This window comes from Homo sapiens, chromosome 4 (genome assembly GCF_000001405.40).
Source record: "Homo sapiens chromosome 4, GRCh38.p14 Primary Assembly".
Taxonomy (NCBI): domain Eukaryota; kingdom Metazoa; phylum Chordata; class Mammalia; order Primates; family Hominidae; genus Homo; species Homo sapiens.
In genome coordinates this window covers 165,392,156-165,413,330 of record NC_000004.12, presented here as the reverse complement: position 1 = coordinate 165,413,330, position 21,175 = coordinate 165,392,156, and the positions used below count along the sequence as shown (strand labels likewise).

Here is a 21,175-nt window from a genome sequence, read left to right as displayed (position 1 = left end):
CCCCAATTCTTCACTTTGGACCCAGCATCACATGGTTTCCAGGCCCGTGGACTCAGGAAAAGTGGCGTTGGACATGCAATTACAACACACTATAGAGACATGGCATCAAGGTAGAGATGAAAAGAAGGGACAAGAATAGCCACTTAAGAAGGGTAGAGTAAGAGGGAAGAGGGGAAGAAAAGAATGTTGAGGCCAGGGAACTGGCATATACAACATGTGAGAGACAAGAAAGAGCAAGTTTTGTTAAAATGAGAAAAGCCCTGTAGAGCTAGGGCTCAGAGAGTGCAAGTGTGACACTGCAGAGGTGTGCAGGGACCCAGCCAGAAGAATCTCAAGCGCATGCGAAGAAGTCTGGGTTTGATTCTAGGTGTAACAGTGAGCACCTGCAGGGAATTAAGCAGAGGAACGTTACAGATTTTGGATTCGAGAAAATCACTGGTTATAACGGTGCAAAAAGAAATGGAATACATGGCTGCTTAGAGGCTGGGAAGCCAATGACTGAAGCATTGAAGAGGTGAAGATGATGACTCTAGAACTTCTTCCCAGCATACAGATGTAAATAGATCACTGTTTACTTTTTAAACATGTTCATATTTTTTAAATGTGAAGAAACATACCTTTCTCACCTCCCTCAGAGGGTTGTTTTTAGGATAAAGTGCACAGTGGCAATGCTGCCTGCCTGAGACAGGACTGAGTGGTGCCAAGAGCACAGGATCTGGAATTGGAGTCTGGATTTCAAACCTTACTCCCCAGTTCCTGACTATGAAAACTCTGAGCAAGTAACACAACTCCTCTGTGCCTCAGTTTCCTAATCTGTAAAATCGAGATAATAATAGTAACTGATTCATAGGCTTTATTGAGAGGACTTAATAAAATAATCCCTGTTTTCTTTATTGTCTTATTTCCAGCAACTAGAATTTTTCCTGGTATGTAGTACTTGCTTACTAATGTTAGTATTTATTTGAAAATTATAAAGGATTACGTAATTGTAAGGTGTCAGCATAACTTAAAAAAGATATTTAATGTCTACAATTTTCCCACCACCAAAAAAATCATATTTTTAAAAATCCACAATCTCTCAAGAACATATCTGTTCTTATAAACATAAAGGTAAGTTTGCAACTTTCTCTTTTGTTTCTTCCTCAACTTTTCCATGATGTGCTTTACCCTTTCAAACAAAATCTCTTCTGTTTAACACAGTTGTAAACCCCAACTTTCAGGCTGGCTGGGGCCCAAATGCCTTCTAAAAATCACTGAATCCTGCTCTGCCTGTAGACAGAGGCTGTTCCAGTGTACAAGTTGTTGACACATTTGAAAGACCAAAATAGTTACCAATGATTAGAAAAATTATGGTTCTTTCGTGGAAGGAAAGCACTGTCATTTTAAAGAGATGGTTTCCTCCTCCTGGAGGAACGTAGAGACTCTCTGGCCCCCACTACCCTTCTTCCCATTCCTTCCAGTAAAAGATTTTCGCCTCCATCACCAGCCACAGGTATAGTGCTTCAATGGGTAGAACCAGAATCCACTAAACTACTTACCACACACAGTAACAAGAGCACACTTTTCACTTTGAATTTTTATAATTTTTTATTGCATTAATCACTTGATCAGATAAACCAGATCTGTTTGCCATGTGCCCTACATTCCACAGGTATTGAGGTCTCCATGAGAAAACCCCCTCAAGCGCATCACAAGGTTTCCATGTGAGCTATGACAAATTAGAAATCAACAGGCCATACTCAAAAAGGAGGCAAAGCTGGTTTCCATCTTTATTCAATGGAGAGTGAAAAGGAGAAGAAGCATTCATTGATAAAGGCTATTCCTGGCCAATTATTTAGCAACTGGTATGACACTGATTTACCAACTGTGTAGAATGTCAAGGGTACCTACCAGGTGGTAACTGTGAGCTCTGTGGAATGACATAAACTAAATAAAACAAGGGATCAGGGAAGGAGGAAGGGCAAAAAGTAGGAGGAAGAAAGAAAGGAAGAGGGATGGAGGGAAGAAGGATTGAAAAAGAAAAAGTTGTATAGTTTAGTTTGACCAAAAGTCAATTTTTAAATAAACAAGTACTAATAGCACCTCTCTTAGGCGACTAAAAAACCTCCCTTTCCAACAATGTCTTTTTGTTTTAATTAATAATTTCTTTCCACGGAGGAGAAAAAAAGGAAAAAATATTTCATCTGGAGAGGAGAAAGAGGCCAACTCTCAGAAACAATGAGATTTTTATCTTAAGTCATACTATGCTCAAGATCCTCTAGGTAATTTTGAAATAATCACTTCCCTATTTCCTTTAGCATTGGAAAGACTATGTAAATGTCCTCCATTCAGCATGCTCTCTGGTCTTCGATTTATCTACTAATATAGTCATGAAATTACCTTTGACGTCCCCTGAAACCCAGCTTTCTGCTAGACTGTGATCCTTTATCCTCAGATCCTGAAACATCCATAGAAAGGGAACCCCAAAGTGCAAGTGCACACACACAAACACACACACACACACACACAGTCTTTCTGCCTTCCTAAATCTAAAAGGTATAGTAACACCATAAATTAAAAGAAAATAAAATTAATTTTCAGCAAAATTTTCTCATTCTCTAATATCAGGTTTCAGTTAGATATTAATATTTAAAATATCTTCTAATACATTATTCTACCTTCCATTTGAGGAAAGGAACAAATGTAAACACAGATATGGTCCCCTCCCCTTTGTAACCTTTCTTTTCTTTCCATTTTTTAATAGCTGCAAACTTACAGGACTTCTGCCTCTTAAATCAAGTATTACTAAATTTCTACTTCAGCACCTTCTGGGATGACAAGATTCCAAATATGTAATAAAAATAAATTGCCATTAATAGCTAGGTCTTTGGCAGAGTTACTGGCCTGTTTTGTTTACTTACCCAGTGCCGGTGTGATGTTCTACTTTGGGCACAGCTGTGAACAAGACTATTAATAATCAGGCTGCATCAAAAAGGAGTCAGTTCATAGTTCTGTAATTCAACGATTTTTTTACTCTTTTATAAATTGAAGTTGTTCACATAGTTCAAGATTGACCTGTTAAAATCTCTGATTTTTTTTTTTTTTTTTTTACAGAGTATCCCTCTGTCAGGTTACAGGGCAGTGGCCTAATCTTGGCTCACTGCAAACTCTGCCTCCCAGGTTCAATCGATTCTCCTGCCTCAGCCTCCCAAGTAGCTGGGACTACAGGCGCCCACCACCACACCCAGCTAATTTTTGTATTTTTAGTAAAGAAAGGGGTTTCACCATGTTGGCCAGGCTGGTCTCGAACTCCTGACCTCAGGTGATCCACCCACCTCGGCCTCCCAAAGTGCTGGGATTACAGGCATGAGCCACTGCACCTGGCCTCTGTTTTTTTTGTTTGTTTGTCTGTGTTTTTTGTGTTTTTGAAAAAAACCTGTGTGGTTTATGAATAAAACTACCTTAGAAAGAGGACAACTGGCACACAATCCTGAGAGCCTGTAAACCCCATTAACCTAGGCCTGCAAGGAAATTTTACCAAATTCAACAATATGAAGGGTCCTCCTGAATGATCACAAAGTAAGTATAAATATAGTACAAAATAATCTAATAAAGACTGGCTCATCCTAGTTTGTTCCAGGATAAGATCACCACAGTATTTCACAGTTTCTTAGGAAAGCATTGATATACTGCTATTATTGATATTTTCTTTATCAAGATTTCATTTGTACACTGAAAGATTCAGAGTCAAAAAAAAAGTCATCAAATTAAATCCATTATTTATTTTAGTCTCTCACACAAGTGGCATCGATTCACTGAACCTGACTGTGGGATATAAGCATGAGTGGAGAATGGGTGCAGCGGCTCAGCCTATAATCCCAGCACTTCGGGAGTCTGAGGCGGGCGGATCACTTGAGGCCAGGAGTTCGAGACCAGCTAGGCCAACATGGCGAAACCCTGTCTCTACTAAAAATACAAAGATTAGCCAGGCATGGTAGCACACACCTGTAATCCTAGCTATTGGGGAGGCTGAGACACAAGAATCACTTGAACCCTGGAGGCAGAGGTTGCAGTGAGCCGAGATCACACCATTGCACTCCAGCCTGGGCAACACAGGGAGACTGCGTGGGTGAAAAATTTTAACCAGCCTCACTCCCATCACTTTCCCGTATTCAGTGTCATAATCTGACACTTAAGTGCTCTCTCTGCATTTCCCACGTCAACCATTCCGGAACCACCACCCACTCCGCCATATACTTGCTTATGTGCTCAAGAGCTTAGCTGCTCTAAGCATACTTGTGGCCAAATAAATGTAAGAAGAGACAGTTGCTGTCTGATTTCACCAGGTGGAGGTAAATGCTTGAGATTATCCATAAACCAATCCATTCCATAATGTGTCCTGCAGAAACTTTTTTCAATATTCTAATCAGAATTACTGTTTTCTTCCTCCATGCACACTTAGCCCTTTGTCACTACTATTGTCTTTATATTATTCTCTCTGTGTCTCCCTCCACCCCAACTGAAGGCTCTTCGAGCATCAGGATACACAGGGGAACCATCGCAGTGCATTACAATGGCTCTCAAAGTGTGGCCTCTGAACCAGTGGCATCAGAATCCCTGGGAACTTGACAGAAAAGCAAAATTTCAGGCCCTACCTCAGACCTACTGAATCAAACTCTGGGGGTGGGACCCCAGCAACCAGTGTTTTAACAAGCCCTCCAGGTGATTCTGACGCAGGCTCAAAATTGAGAACCACTGGTATATTGGAATAAGTATGGGTTTTGGAAGCAGATAATCTAAGGCTTTTAAATTCCTACGGTGCCCTTTATTAGCCAATGATATTAATCAAGTTGTTTGCTATCTTTGAGTTGCCTCTACTCACTTATGAAATTCATGACTTGTGAAAATATGCTGAGGGATGGAATTTTTTTTAATAACAGTCTTTTCAATAAGTTGTGCTGGGACAATGGGATATCCATCTGCAAAAGAAGGAAAGTGGACCCTCTACTTATCCGATAAAAAAGTTAACTCAAAATGGATCAAGATTTAAATGCGAGAGTTAAAGCTATAACACTCTTAGAAGAAAACGTAGGTGTAAATCTTTGTGACCTTAGATTACGCAATGGTTTTTTAGATATGACGCAAAGAGGACAAGAAACACAAGAAAAAATACATAAATTGGACCACATCAAAATGTAAAACTTCTGTACTTGAAAGGACACTATCAAGAAAGTAAGGAGACAACACACAGAATGGGAGAAGATTTTTGCAAATTGTATATCTGATAAGGGGCTTGGTTCCAGGATACGTAGGGAGCTCTTACAACTCAACAATAATAAGATAAATTGCCCATTTTAAAATGAATAGACAGCCCCAGGTGCAGTGCCACATGCCTGTTGTCTCAGCTAATTGGGAGGCTGAGGTGAGAGGATCCCCAGAGCCCAGGAGTTTGAGACACAGCGGAACTCCGTCTCTTTAAAAAAAAAAAAAAAGTTGGGTCGGGCGCGGTGGCTCATGCCTATAATCCCAACATTTTGGGAGGCCGAGGCAGGCAGATCACCTGAGGTCAGGAGTTCAAGACCAGCCTGGCCAACATGGCAAAACCCCGTCTCTACTAAAAAATAAAAAAATAAAAAATTAGCCAGGTGTGGTGGTGGATGCCTGTAATCCCAGCTACTCTGGAGGCTGAGGCAGGAGAATTGCTTGAACCTCGGAGGTGGAGGTTGCAGTGAGCCAAGATCACACCACTGCACGCCAGCCTGGGCAACAGAGTGAGACTCCATCTCAAAAAAAAAAAAAGAAAAAATTGAAGCCCGGCATGATGCTTGTAATCCCAGCAATCCACTTGAGTTATTTGGGAGGCTGAAGTGGGAGAATCCCTTGAGCCCAGGAATTTGAAACCAGCCTGGGCAACATAGCCGGACCCCATCTCAAAAAAAAAAAAAGAATGGAAGTTTCTCCAAAGAAGATATACATATGGTCAATAAGCACATGAAAAGATGCTTAATGTCATTAGCCATCAAGGAAATGCAAATCAAAACAACATCAAAATATCACTTCACACCCAGTAGAATGGCTCTAATCAAAACTACAGCAAAAAACAAGTTGGCGAGGATATAGAGAAATTGGAACCTTTGTACACTGCCGATGGGAATGTAAATGGTGTAGTCATTTTGGAAAACAGTCTGGCAGTTCCTGAAAATGTTAAACAAAGAACTGCAATATGACCCAGCAATTCCACTGCTAGGTTCATACCTAAAAGAAATAAACACACATATCCACAAAAAAAACTTGCACATAAGTGCCATAGCAGCAGCCTTGTTCATGATAGACAAAAAATTGAAACAACCCAGATGTCTATCAACTGATGAATGGAAAAACAAAATATGGTAAATCCACATAATGGAGTACTAATACATGCTACAACATGGGTGAACCTTGAAAACATTATGCTAAGTTAAAGGAGTCGGCCACAAAAGACCACATATCACACAATTTGATTTATATGAAATGTCTAGAATAAGCAAATCTACAGAGACAAAAAGTCGATTAGTCTGGTGGCCTAGAGTTGTTGGAGCAGGATTGGGAGGAATTGGGAAAATGAGGAATAACTGCTAATGGGTATGGGGTTCTTTTTGAGGTGATGATATAAATGTTCTAAAATTGTGGTGATGGCTGCACAACACTGTGGATCTACTATAAACCATTGAATTTTACTTTTAATTGTGTGAACTATTTGGTATGTGAATTCTATCTCAATAAAGCTGCAACAAAGTAATAATGACCACAAAGATTTTCAGCCATTAAATATTAAAATATTTAATAAAAGAGACAAGTTTTAGGAGGGAGCTTAAGAACAGTACAATTCTGAAATCTGAGGGAAAAACTGTGAAGTCAGTTCATTTGTATTCTCCTTGGTTATAATACATTTAAAAAGCTAATACAAAAGATAAGAATGAAATTAAAGAGAAGCGCTCTCCACTGCTGTTCTCTTCAGCTCAACATGGTGGTCTACCGGGCGATTGGCAGCCTCAGCCACTTCTCTGCCTTCAGGATCCTCCGCTCCCAAGGTTATATACGCCGCAATTTTACAGGGTCCTTTGCTTTGCTGACCAGAACCCATATTAACTATGGAGTCAAAGGGGATGTGATAGTTATTTAAATTAACTCTCCCCATTCAAAGATAAATACGCTGAATAAACAAACAGCTGCATTCAGAGTTCACGGAAGTTATGAATGAAATCTGGGCTAGTGATCAAATCAGAAGTGCCATCCTTATCTCACCAAAGCCAGGCTGCTTTATTGTAGGTGCTGATATCAACATTTTAGCCACTTGCAAGACCCCTCAAGAAGTAACACAGATACCACAAGAAGCACAGAGAACATTTGAGAAACTTGAAAAGTCCATAAAGCCTGTTGTGACTGCCATCAGTGGATCCTGCCATTTTATGCCAATATAAAATAGCAACAAAAGACAGAAAAACAGTATTCGGTGCTCCTGAAGTCTTGCTGGGGATCTTACCAGGAGCAGGAGGCACACAAAGGCTGCCCAAAATGGTGGGTGTGCCTGCTGCTTTTGACATGATGCTGACTGGCAGAAACATCCGTGCAGACAGGGCAAAGAAAATGGGACTGGTTGACCAATTGGTGGAATCTCTGCGACCAGGACTAAAACTTCCAGAGGAATGGACAATCAAATACCTAGAAGAAGTTGCAATTACTTTCCCAAAGGACTAGCTGATAAGAAGATCTCTCCAAAGAGAGACAAGGGATTAGTGGAAAAATTAACAGCGTATGCCATGACTATTCCATTTGTCAGGCAACAGATTTACAAAAAAGTGGAAGAAAAAGTGTGAAAGCGGACTAAAGGGCTTTCCCTTTATCCCACACCTCTGAAAATAATTGATGTGGTAAAGACTGGAATTGAGCAAGGGAGCGATGCTGGTTATCTCTCTGAATCTCAGAAATTCGGAGAGCTTGCAATGACCAAAGAATCAAAGGCCTTGATGGGACTCTACCATGGTCAGGTCCTGTGCAAGAAGAATACATCTGGAGCTCCACAGAAGGATGTTAAGCATCTGGCTATTCCTGGTGCAGGGATGATGGGAGCAGGCATTGCCCAAGTCTCCGTGGATAAGGGGCGAAAGACTATACTTAAAGATGCCACACTCACTGGGTTAGGCTGAGGACAGCAACAAGTGTTCAAAGGATTGAATGACAAAGTAAAGAAGAAAGCTCTAACGTCATTTGAAAGGGATTCCATCTTCAGCAACTTGACTGGGAAGCTTGATTACCAAGGTTTTGAAAGACAGACATGGTGATGGATGCTGTCCATCCATCACAACTTCCTTAGTTTTAAGCACAGAGTGCTAAAGGAAGTAGAAGCAGTGATTCCAGATCACTACGTCTTTGCTAGTAACACATCTCCTCTCCCAGTCAGTGAAATCGCTGCTGTCAGCAAAAGACCTGAGAAGGTGATTGGCAGGCACTACTTCTCTCCCGCAGACAAGATGCAGCTGCTGGAGATGATCACAACCAAGAAGACTTCCAAAGACACCAGTGCTTCAACTGTAGCAATCGGTCTCAAGCAGGGGAAGGTCATCATTGTGGTTAAGGATGGACCTGGCTTCTATACTACCAGGTGTCTTGCACCCATGATGTCTGAAGTCATCTGAATCCTCCAGGAAGGAGTTGACCCAAAGAAGCTGGATTCCCTGACCACAAGCCTTGGCCTTCCTGTGGGTGCCGCCACACTGGTGGATGAAGTTGGCGTGGATGTAGCGAAACATGTGGCCAAAGATCTGGGCAAAGCCTTTGGGGAGCAGTTTGGAGGTGGAAACCCAGAACTACTGACATAGATGGTGTCCAAGGGCTTCCTAGGTCGCCAGTCTGGGAAGGGCTTTTCCATCTATCAGGAGAGTGTGAAGAATAAGAATTTGAATTCTGACATGAACGGTATTTTAGCAAGTCTGAAGATGCCTCCTAAGTCTGAAGTCTCCTCAGATGAAGACATCCAGTTCCGCCTGCTGACAAGATTTGTGAATGAGGCAGTCACGTGCCCGCAAGAGGGGATCTTGGCCACACCTGCAGAGGGAGACATTGGAGCCGTCTTCGGGCTCAGCTTCCCACCTTGTCTTGGAGGGCCTTTCTGCTTTGTGGATCTGTATGAAGCCCAGAAGATAGTGGACCGGCTCAAGAAGTATGAGGCTGCCTATGGAAAAGAGTTCACCCCAAGCCAGCTGCTAGCTGACCACACTAACAGCCCTAACAAGAAGTTTCATCAGTGAGCAGGCCTCATGCCTCACTCAGTCAGTGCACTAACCCCAGCTGCCGGCAGTGCTGGTTCTCCAACAGAGTGGCATCTAGATTTATCAGAGTAACGAGAAGGAAGACAAACTCCGGCATTGGGTTTGCTCCCTGATTAAAGTGCCTTCAGCCAAGATCATCTCCCCCTCCTGGTGAAATCTGACTGTGAATTAGAGTTTGCGCTATTGGAAGGTGGAACCCACTGTGCTCATTGTATAAGCCCTGAGGCCTAGAGTGGCAGCCAAGAGCCATCTGGAGCCATCTCTTTGCCTGTTCCTGTCAGGAGGCCAGGGTGGCCAGGGGTGGTGAGGGCAATTCTGCACCCAGACAAACACATAACAATAAAAACCAAACTCTGTAAAAAAAAAAAAAAAAAGAATGAAATTAAAAACATGAATTACAAGAGGCTTTCAACATCCTCTTTTCATGTTGTTAGCAAGCCAGAAAACACATTCCCCATGGCATATGTTACAATTTAAATTTCATTCAAAAATTAAATCATTGTCACATTAATAGTGGTAGTAGGATTTTAGAGCTGGGGCCCCAATGATTATTTATTCCAACTTCCAGATTTTACAAAAATAGACTGCTCTAACATTTTCCATACCACTCCACACTGCTTCCCCATCAGTGTGCAGACATTAATTTTTACTTAATGCAATTCTAATAAACTGTTTTCTGGAACATGTGTTTCATGGCCTCAAGAATATGATTTTTTTTTTAATTTCTTACACTGTTTTCTTTTCACATTTAGTTGACATGAGCCTTTCCTGGTTTCAATGACAGGTGGTGATGGTTTCCTTTATGATACACACATCATAAAACAGTCGCCTTCAGCTTTTGTTTTTTAATAGCTTGCTTACATAAGTTTTACAGAGCTATGAAAGAATCAAATAGCAATCAAAATATTCTTCATAATCACCGTTAATTTCTAGTTGATTCCCAGTGTTAACTTTTTCAATCTGAGTTCAAATTTGGTGTGCCTGCATTTTAGTTCAGGATCAGATATTTCCCAGTGTTCGATTGTTTCAAATCCAGAAAAACAGAAGAAGAGTCTGGCATTTTACATTCCAGATTTCAAAAGAACAATCTATTTCCAAAGAAAAAATATCTTAAAAATATTTTTTATAAACAAAGGTAGTTTTCTCATTTCTGTTTTTCCACTTGCCACATTCTTCAGGTTTTTGTATTGACTCCTCTTCGGGGGAGAGTAAGTCTTTTTGTGACATATTTGCAAGTGTATATTTTAATTTACATGGTGCATTAGGCCATTCTTGAATTACTATAAAGAAATACCGGAGACTGAGTAATTTATAAAGAAAAGAAGTTTAATTGGCTCACGGTTCTGCAGGCTGTACAAGCATGGTGCTTGCGTCTACACGGCTTCTGGGGAGGGCTCAGGGAGCTCTCACTCATGGTAGAAGCAGGAGCATGCACGTCACATGGAGAGAAAGGGAGTAAGGTGGGGGAGGTACCATACACTTAATCAGATCTCGCGAGAACTCACCAGGAGATAGTGTCAAGTCATTCAAGAAGAATCTGCCCCTGTGATCCAAACACCTCCCAACAGGCTCCGTCTCCAACACTGGGCATTACATTTCAGCATGAGATTTGGTCAGGGACAGATATCCAAACTGTATCACATGGTGTCATGTAACCGGCCAGAATCACTAGAAACACCAACATCCTTTAATACTGAAGTATGCATCTCAACAATTCTGTGTAACTATGAGAATAATAAAGGTTACAAATGGGACCAGTCATTTATGAAATTCTTTCAAAGATCTGAAGAGGTAAATGATCATCTAAGCAAACTCTGAGAGAATCAGGCTGAAAATGTTGGCCACTATTATTATTAGCACATTTTCCTTCTCTTTCACAAATAAATAGGTACAAAACAGTAGTGGCTTCTTGATCCATAAAGAAGCTTTATTACATTTTTATTAAATATATATTTTTGATGGAAATATCTCACAACCTTCTGAAGAAAGAACTGATATAAAAAATAAAATAATCTGTCCATTTATCACCTTTCCCTAATTATCCTTTCCTCTTCATTCCATTGTCACCACACCTTTCCAGGTCCTCATCAAATTATGCCAGTATTACTCTATCAGCCTTTTGCCCAGCCTCCCGACCCCTACTTTAAACACATCTGGCTTAATATTAAAATAACTAATTTTATTACAACACCACTTTCCACAGAATCATTCTATGCTCACAAGACTGCAGAAGCCCCTGTAACCCACCATTGTGTCTAAATTCCTCTGTCCAGCTTCCAGGGCCTCATATATTGTGGCATCACTCAATCTTTCCAAAAGTATTTCATGTTCCCCCACACATAAACCCTCCTCCACTCAGGAAGGCAGATGTTCCACAAGACAAGAAATAATGAGAGGAGAATACAGTTTGGGAAATAATAATAATTTCTATTATTCATTAAGTGTATGTTGTGTGCCATTAACTGTGCTCAGCACATTACATGTGCTATTTCATTTTACCCGCACATAAATCTTACGTGACAGGTTTCATGATTTTACAGAGTGGAAGCTGAGCCACATAAAGACTTTCTTCTTTAAGGCCATTAAGCTATTAAACGGCAGACCTGGCAGCCTTATGTCTCACTCCAATGCTCAAGTTCTTATCCACATGTTGACTATCACTTATAGTAAAAGTGTACTAGGCAGGTGGATGTGCAAATCCAAAGCTCACTGGGGAGAAACAAGGGTTATATTTTTCCTTCACCGGCTTCTAGTTAACTGCACCTGTTGTTATGAGTGAGCCTGTCTATGGAAAAGGCGTGTAACGAAGAGAAGAAACCAAGAACAGAACTCTAAGCAATGGCACCACTTACAGGGTGTACAGAAGAGAAGGCCGCAGAAAAGACTGAGAAGGTGTCAGGAGAACCAGAAGAGTTATCCAGTACAAATCAAAGAAGTGGGGTTTCAAGTCACACTAAAGGGGAGTAGTCAGCTGTGTAAAGAAAAAAAAAATCAAATAAGGTCAAGTAAGATAAAGATTGAAAACGGCTCATTAGAACTGGTGATGAAGAGCTGGGATAACTCATAATTTATCATCCAAACTAGGACAGTTTTGAGGGTGAAAGAGGGCTCTATTAACAAATACCCCAGGAACACTGAATATGTTGGAAACAAAGACATAAGGTCACCCTATTAAGAAGTCAGTAGTGGCCCTTTGTGAGAACCATATGAAGAGAGTAATGCAGTGACTGCCACAATGATATGAGTTCAGGAATGAATGTGTGTTGAAAATAGTATGTAATCTTTCAAAAAACTTAGTTTATTCCTTCTTTACTCCCACTGCTTCACTTGACTAGCCTTTAAAAAAGAAAGGCTTGGTTTGATGAATGGGTGAGAGAAAAGGTGAGTGTTAGAGGTGAAACTGCCCTTCACTTACTCCTTATCCATTTGTTTGACTTCTTCCTCTTGACTCTACTGAAACTACTTCCCCAAATGTCCCCAGCGACTTCCAACCAGTGCTGGGAGTGAGTGACCTTTACTGTATCCTCTGCTTCATTAACTTCCACAGCACTGGGCATCGTCATATGCCCCCAGTCCTATCTTGAGACTACAGCTCTGAATCATACCTACTGCCTCTTTCTTTGACTACATCTCTCTGCTCTCTTCTTGCTCATTTAATCTTAAAAATGTTGGTGTGTTCTAAGTTTCTGCCTGATACACTTTCTCTCCTTTGCCTATTCTCCCTCCCTCAGTCATCTCATCCATAATCACCATTTTCACCCTCACCAGTCATGCAAGTGATTCCTAAATCTTTTCCTCTGTCCTCAAATTCTGCTATGAAATGAATTTCATTTCAAACTGCTGGCCATATATCTCTCTCCAGGTGGTGGGTCCACAACACCTCCCTAAATATGTCAAAAGCATACAATATCTTTTTCTTAAATTAGCAATGCACAAGTGATCTATTTCTGTTAACTCCCAAACAAATGAAGTCTAAATCCTCAGTCTAGCATTTAAGGATATTCATGATATGGCCAAAGACCTACTTGTAAAGATTTTGCTTCCTCTACATGTACAGTAAGGTCTAAGCACAAAGTGCTCTGTTATTATCCTCTGAACATTATCTTGGAACCCACTCTTAGAGAGGCTGGGATTATAACACTGATGATTGCTTCTGTTTCTCCTAGAATTCTCTTCTCTCCTCTACACTGGTCAAGATTAAGCCAATCAGAAGTCTCGGTGAGTATCCTTATTAAATGTGTCCTCCATTCTTCAATCTCAAACTTCGCTTTGTATTACTCTTAAGGTACTTGTCATTTTCTATCTTATCATAACATATGCATGTGTCTTATCCTCCCTAGTATATAGGGAACTCCTTTAAAAGAGGATATGTGGCCAGGCACGGTGGCTCACACCTGTAATCCCAGCACTTTGGGAGGCCAAGGCATGTGGATCACCTGAGGTCAAGAGTTCAAAACCAGCCTGGCCAACATGGTGAAACCCCATCTCTACTAAAAATACAAAAATTAGCTGGGTGTGTTAGCGTGTGCCTGTAGTCCCAGCTACTCAGGAGGCAGGAGGCCAGGGCAGGAGAATCGCTTGAACTTGGGAGGTGGAGGTTGCAGTGAGCCGAGATCGTGCCACTGCACTCCAGCCTGGGTGACAGAGACTCTTTCTCAAAAAATAAAAAAGAGGGTATGTCTTTTCACAGATGTACAACAGGTATTTATTGTTTAGAATCAACAGTTATAATTAGTAGAATAGATGCATTTGACATCTTAATACATCTTACTTGAAAATCCATTATTTTTATCACCCTCAAAAGTAAAAGAAAAACTGACAGCTGTTTATGCTCTGATATATTAAACATCCTCAGTAAACATTATTTTAAAACTACATCTCTGGTTTATGAACATATAATGTGAGAGAACAGTTTATCAAGTAGATTAATTTTTAGGCACATCAAGATTAATATGATCATTTAGTATAGTACATTTAGGCAATTAAATTTTTATAATATAAGTAAGTACCACAATAAAACCCTTTAATGCCTACTGTCAAAGCCTAGAATAGTGAATTAATTGGTTATAATAGGTTGTGATTTGAAGTGGAACTTCTTAGTCATTGATTGATTAAACCAACTAATGCCTGCAAAACATATTTTTAACACCTCAGTGTATATCACCTGGTATTCTTTGTTTAACAGAACTGTACCTTTAAATACAGCTAATGCCAGATGGTCTCCTCAGAAAAAAAACAGCAGGAGGCAACATATTAATGCCACTCAACAAGCAAGTCTGCAGACAGCCAGCCAATGAAATCTGTCTTCAGTTGCTAAGCCGTTCTGTCACCATGGCAACACCTACTTCAGAAAAAATATTGGATTTTCAAGTCAAGTGAGCCACCCACCTTAAAATTCCAGATCTTCCAAACTATGATCACCAGATACTTTAGTTAAAATAACTGCTTAGATTTTTTCCATTGACCTAAAATCAGGGCTATCTTGAAAAGCCACTTGCCTCTCCATTTTTAAATGTTTATTTACTCTCAGTTTCTAACTTTCCTGATTTCTAGATAAACATACTCCATTTAAATGTGTGTGTATGCATATGTATACACATGCACATTTGTATATATGTACCTATATGTATATATGTACCTATATGTATTCATACACCTATATACATATATGTGTATATGTGTATGCATGTGTATATGTGTGTGTATATATGTGTATATATTAGCAGTTGTAGGCTAATAGTCCTAAACATAAAGAAAAATCTTAATGTCTCAGAAAATTGTCACTGGTACATGCTCTTATCAATCTTTTACTAATATTATATCTGATGTAAATAAGCAATTAATAAAATAAGTTTATGTATTAATTAGAATAATTAATTAATTGAGACCAGAACAATATTCTTTTTGTTACCAGCCTCTAAATTATTTAGTATGAATGTACAAGATAACATTAAAACCTTAGTGGGGTTTTGTTTTTTTTTTTTTTTTTTTTAGAAATGAGGACTTGCTCTGTCGCTCAAGCTGTGTACAGTGATGCAATCATAGCCCACTGCAGCCTCCAACTCCTGGGCTCAAGCAATCCTCCCACCTCAGCCTCTGGAGTAGCCAGGACTATAGGCATGTACCACAATGCCTGGCTAATTTTTCTTTCTTTTTTTTTTTTCTGGTAGAGACACGGTCTTGCTATGTCACCCAGACTGGTCTCAAACTTCTGGCCTCAAGCAATCCTCCCACGTTGGCCTCCCAAAGTGCTGAAATTTCAAGCATGAGCCACTATGCCTGGCCAAAAGCTTGTTTTTAATACAGCTCCATTTTTAAGTGGAAATGATTATTTGTCCTATAAAAGGGAGATAATCCTGTTTTATCTGATGAAAATGCAGAGAATCTAAAATAATATTTGGAAATACGTTGTATAATCAAGATAAGATGGTAGAAAGGATGCTTACTTTGAAAGCATGGAAAGAGAGTGTCTAAGAACATGGCAACATCTTCCACTCAAGTCACATGGTAAGAAGGAACATTTCCCCAAGAAGGGAAGAGAGGAGCTAATATCAGAAGGCAGGAAGACAAAATAAATAGGTGTCTAATATACCGAATTGCGTATTTAAGAATGTAGCTATATATACATGTATATTCTAATCTTGGTTTTGCCACTTACAAACCTGTGATGTTAAATAAATCATTTAATCTCTTTGGGCCTCAGTTTCCTAATTTATAGAATGGGGATAATTATAGTACCAAACCCATAAGGGATATGTGGGTAAGTCGTGCCTTTAAACATCACTTGGCATATACCAAGCATTATTTAAGGGTGAGCAATAATATATAGTACATTCATATTCTCTCCACAACATTTAAACATTTTTCCTTGGCCTTTCTATTTCATCTTTAAACTTTATTTTCTAACTTTCTCTGTGTTTTAATACTTTTTGTTTTCAGTTGGCTTCACTTTCTTATTTTTATTTTAATTTTTATTATTTGTTGAGACAAGGTCTCATTCTATCACCCAGGCTGGAGTTCAGTGCTGTGATCATGGCTCACTGCAGCCTCAACCTCCTGGGCTCAAGCCATCCTCCCGCCTCAGCCTCCTGAGTAGCTGGGACTACAGGAGCATACCACCACACCTGGCTAACATTTTGTAATTTTTTTTTTTTTTTGTGGCGACAGGGTTTCGCCATGTTGCTCAGGCTGGTCTCAAGTGAGTCTGAGTGGTCTCAAACTCCCCAGCTCAAGTGATTGTCCTGCCTCAGCCTCCCAAAGTGCTGGGATTACAGGAGTGAGCCACCACACTCAGCCTTCTTCTCTAACCTTAAATATTATATTTCCGTCTATCTTATTGTTTTTAATAATCTCCCTTATCTTTTTTTTTTTTTGAGACAGAATCTGGCTCTGTTGCCCAGGCTGGAGTGCAGTGGCACAATCTCATCTCACTGCAACCTCCACCTCCCAGGTTCAAGCAATTCTCCTGCCTCAGCCTCCAGAGTAGCTGGGATTACAGGCATATGCCACCACACCCTGCTAATTTTTGTATTTTAGTAGAGATGTGGTTTCACCATGTTGGCCAGGCTGGTCTCAAACTCCTGGTCTTGAACTCCTGGTCTCAAGTGACCTGCCTGCCTTGGCCTCCTAAAGTGCTGGGATTACAGGTGTGAGCCACCATGACCAGCCTATCTTAACTTCTTACCTGATATTTCCAACATTTGATAGCTCACTTCTTTAGATCTATCTCAAAGTCAAGTTGTAGGAGTTACAGAGAGAGACAGAGAGAGCATGGTGGGTCATACCAACAGTTCTTACAGCACCCAATAAGTTCCCTAGCCCCGTTAAAGATGACTCCAGGAACAAATTCAGGAATATGATATAAAATATCTCCCAGGGACCAAAGACCTCATTGTGCGAAGAGCAAATCTGGTTATCTAAAAAGTATTTTTAAATGGAAACTTTGCCATATTTTAGATTTCAACACACACATACCTTTTTTCCTTTAGAGGAGGGAGGAAAAAAAAGATCAAAGCAAATGAAACTTCTTTAGGGCAACTCCTTTTTGTGAGAGAAAAAAGTTGCAGTGGTCTTAGAATAACCGATTGGATGAAAGCCAATAGTTTTTGTTTACTTAAGAGAAGGGAGAACTCCTCTTACTATCAGAATTAGCCCAGTCTATACAGGCGAGATTAGGTTCACAAACCTTTCATGACAAGTGTTTTGGGGGTTTTTTGTAATTCTATTTCTGAAATGCTTTGGGCATCTACATGTTATGCATGTGCCTAGTGAGCATTCTCTGAGGGTTGAGAAACATTTCCCAACTATCCTGTACAATTCTCTACATGTGAATTATCATGTAATCCCTTTGAACTACATATCATGCACAGAATTTATGATTTCAAGTTCTATCCTGTGCTATTTAATTTCTAAGCTGAACACATATTTAACAGAAGGCAAGAAAGAAGATGAAATGTGGTTCACACATTTTTCATCATAATCCATTTATATAAGATAACTTGGAAAAGAATCTGTAAGTCATTTTTATTAGTCTGTCAAAGAAATGGCTGCTAATAAAACTGCCGAATCAAATCATTACCAGTACTGTGCATTGACCCTTGGCATAGGTAGAACTTTCTTTCCATCTCTGCTTCCTAATCTCTTACTTGACTAGGCTCTGGACTCCCACTCTCATTAATACCCAAAGGTTAGCTCTATGCACAGGTCAAATGTCAAATGGAGAATTAAAGCAATTGTCTGAATAATTCAGACTTAATACTTTCACCACAAATAATATTATAATAAAAATAAATTTTACCCCAAATTAACCGTGAAATTATCTCCAGTCTTTTCATTGCCTTATTAGCCCATTTCCTGCTCATATGAGAACACACCCTTTCACATAAACATCAGCCAGAAGACTTTGGAATACTTTGCTTGCTAATATCCTGACTATAAATTACCAACAGAATTCATCAACTAATCATTTCGGTAGAGTTTGTCACAGGACAAAAATCAAAACAAAAAAACATCATTCACACGTATATCATATATTCTTAAATTCCTACAGTAATTCATACCACTATTTTCTGTCCAATCATTTAAGGAGGCTCTTCATTCCAGATATAGTTCCTTTATATATTTCTTCTTTTTAATAAAGGCTGTTCATTAAACATGCAATATATTATCAATGATTCTTATAACATTTTAATATGTTTCATAAAACTTTCACAAACCTGGAAATAAAGTCCTTTGAGAAATTGTGTGATGATTGTTGGTTTGGAAAACATTCTCAACAAATATGTGATCCCCTTCAGCACAAGTAACATTTTTCACATAAAAAAAAAATTTTAATAGGGGCAGAATCTTGCTATTTTGCCCAAGCTGGTCTCGAACTACTGGGCCCAAGAAATCCTCCCTACTGAATCACATTGAAATGTAATGTAGACACATGAACAGATCAACACGAGTATGTTTTTTTAACAGGAAACCTCACCCATTTTTAGTTATTTATATTATTCACCCTTAACTTCCAGCGACACAACACATGATTCATTCTGCGTGGTGCACACAACTGAGGGTTGCCCTTGCACACCACAACACCCTTCCCAGAGGCCCACTCCCAATGGTCATGTTCTCTTAGGACCAGGATTCCTAAATGGTCAGTCATGTGGGAGATGCCGGGCTTAAATTCAAAAAATTACTTGAATCTATTCACAGAAGCACTGTGGTATAGTAGGTATCTGATCTTTGCTAATAAGTTTTCATAACTGTATTGTAACTTATATGGAACAGTCCTTCCTTGGGCAATCTTGGATTTTACCAGTCCCTAACTCAAAGCAAAATTAAAGCACTTCATCCCATCTCCCAAAGTAATTTACTCCACAAATCATTATGGAGCACTGTAGATCTGCTGATGTCCCCATCCATTATTTCTGTTTCCCCAAAGTTTCTCTTGAGCCACCAGCCCTTAAGTCTTTCTCTTCTCTCTCTCTGACTCTCTACATACCCTCTGACTCTCTACATACCCTCTCCTTTTTATCCACTTTAGGTCCTCAGCCTTCCTGAAGGCCCAGCCCTCCAAAAAGTTTATCAGAGCAGTCTTCCAACAAAAGCTTGTTTCTTCTTAGAGAGTGGATTCTACTGCCAAGAAAAATAACATTTTCTGTAGGTACTTACAGTGTGCTGGAGTGATTTATTTCAATGCTTTCCTGGTTTTTTGCCACCCTAGGCCCTGTCTATCCGCCTCCGGCACACCCATAGCCATTTACAGCACACAGGTCAAGAAGTTCTGCTCTAAGGATTTGAAAACATAACTGATAAGTTACATTCCAGTAATGCCCTCACAGACTTCAGTTCACATAAACAGCTCATGACCCTCCATGACCAGTAAGAAATAGTTATGTTCATTTCTCCAACTGTGTACATTGTTATGGGAAATACTTTAAGAAGAGTGTCCAACTGTGTATCAGAAAATGAGTTCCAAGCCTCCTGGGCTTCAAAACCTTGGGCAGGTTGTTTAATGTCTCTCTGAAGCTCAACTTAATCATCTATAAAATGAGAGTGCTCCTTCTAGCTAGGAAAAAACTATAATTCTAATGTTTCACAATTCTATGGAACACTAATGAAGATTGGGTTTAACATCAGGAGTAATTCAAAATAAATTTACCCTAATCAAAAACCTATAATTGGAAAAATTAGTTAAATACTAAATATTTCTGCATAGTGAATTTCTCTCCCAAAAGCATCTGACAAACTGCATGATCATTATTCAAGTGTTAGACAAATGCAGCTGGATGAATGCTCTAAAACAGCTGCCAAAGCATGGAGAAAATCTATGGGCTGAATTCTCCTTCAATAACTCAAATGACATTGCTTTTTTTGTTCTTGTTCTTATTTTTGTGAGTTTTTACAAAACATAGTTTTTGAATTACATAGTCAAAACAGAACACTAATTGAACTATACTTAACTGCTGGAAATTAGCCTAACAAAATCAAAATTACATAACATCTTTATATTCCATGGCTTACTAGAGAGTGCTCAATAATAGCTACCTAGGGAGGAAAAGCATTAGTAATCAATTGTTGCTAATTACAATATAATCTAGTATATGCTTAATATAATTCTACTTATAATTATATACTATATAACTGTATTATGTTTGATTTATATATATATTATTTATATATGTGATATATTATAACAGACTATATATGTGCCAGATAATTATGTTCCATTAACATGTAAAATTTTCATCTAGAGAAAATGTTCATTTTAGAGAATGCAGTTTTGGGGTGTTGTCCTTTGAGGCTGATTTCCCTCACCAAGACAATAAAACAATTTGGGATGGAGCTTATACTACGATAAGCTCCATTATGATATGATATATAAATATAATAAAATATGTATAACATTTCATTATATTTATAATATCATTATAATAGTATATTTATACTATAGTAATGGAATAATGTAATATAAATATAATATATAAGTATAAGCTCCATTATAATATATAAATATATATTTAATATAATATATACATATATTATATATTTAATATATCATATATTGTAAATATATGATATATGTATATTACATATTACATATATGCTAGGCTCTGGACTCCCACTCTCATTAATACCCAAAGATTAGCTCCGAATATGTATGCATAATATATACATATATTGTAAATATATGATATATGTATATTACATATTACATATACATATATCATATATTTACAATACATGATATATTATATATATTATAGATACATACTATTATATGTAAATATATAAATATATATTATATACCTATATATACACTATATATTAGTATATATACTAGTATACATATACTATATATATATAAGTATATTATATTTCTATTAGTATATGCTCCATCC

General features: G+C 38.8%; 1 protein-coding gene and 1 pseudogene across 1 annotated transcript in view; one reads left to right on the top strand and one right to left on the bottom strand.

Annotated features, from left to right (window-relative positions):
• The window catches only part of CPE (carboxypeptidase E), a 119,540-nt gene that overhangs the window by 85,217 nt on the left and 13,148 nt on the right, over positions 1-21,175 (bottom strand). The window lies entirely within an intron of this gene.
• Positions 6,947-9,644, top strand: HADHAP1 (HADHA pseudogene 1; annotated as a pseudogene).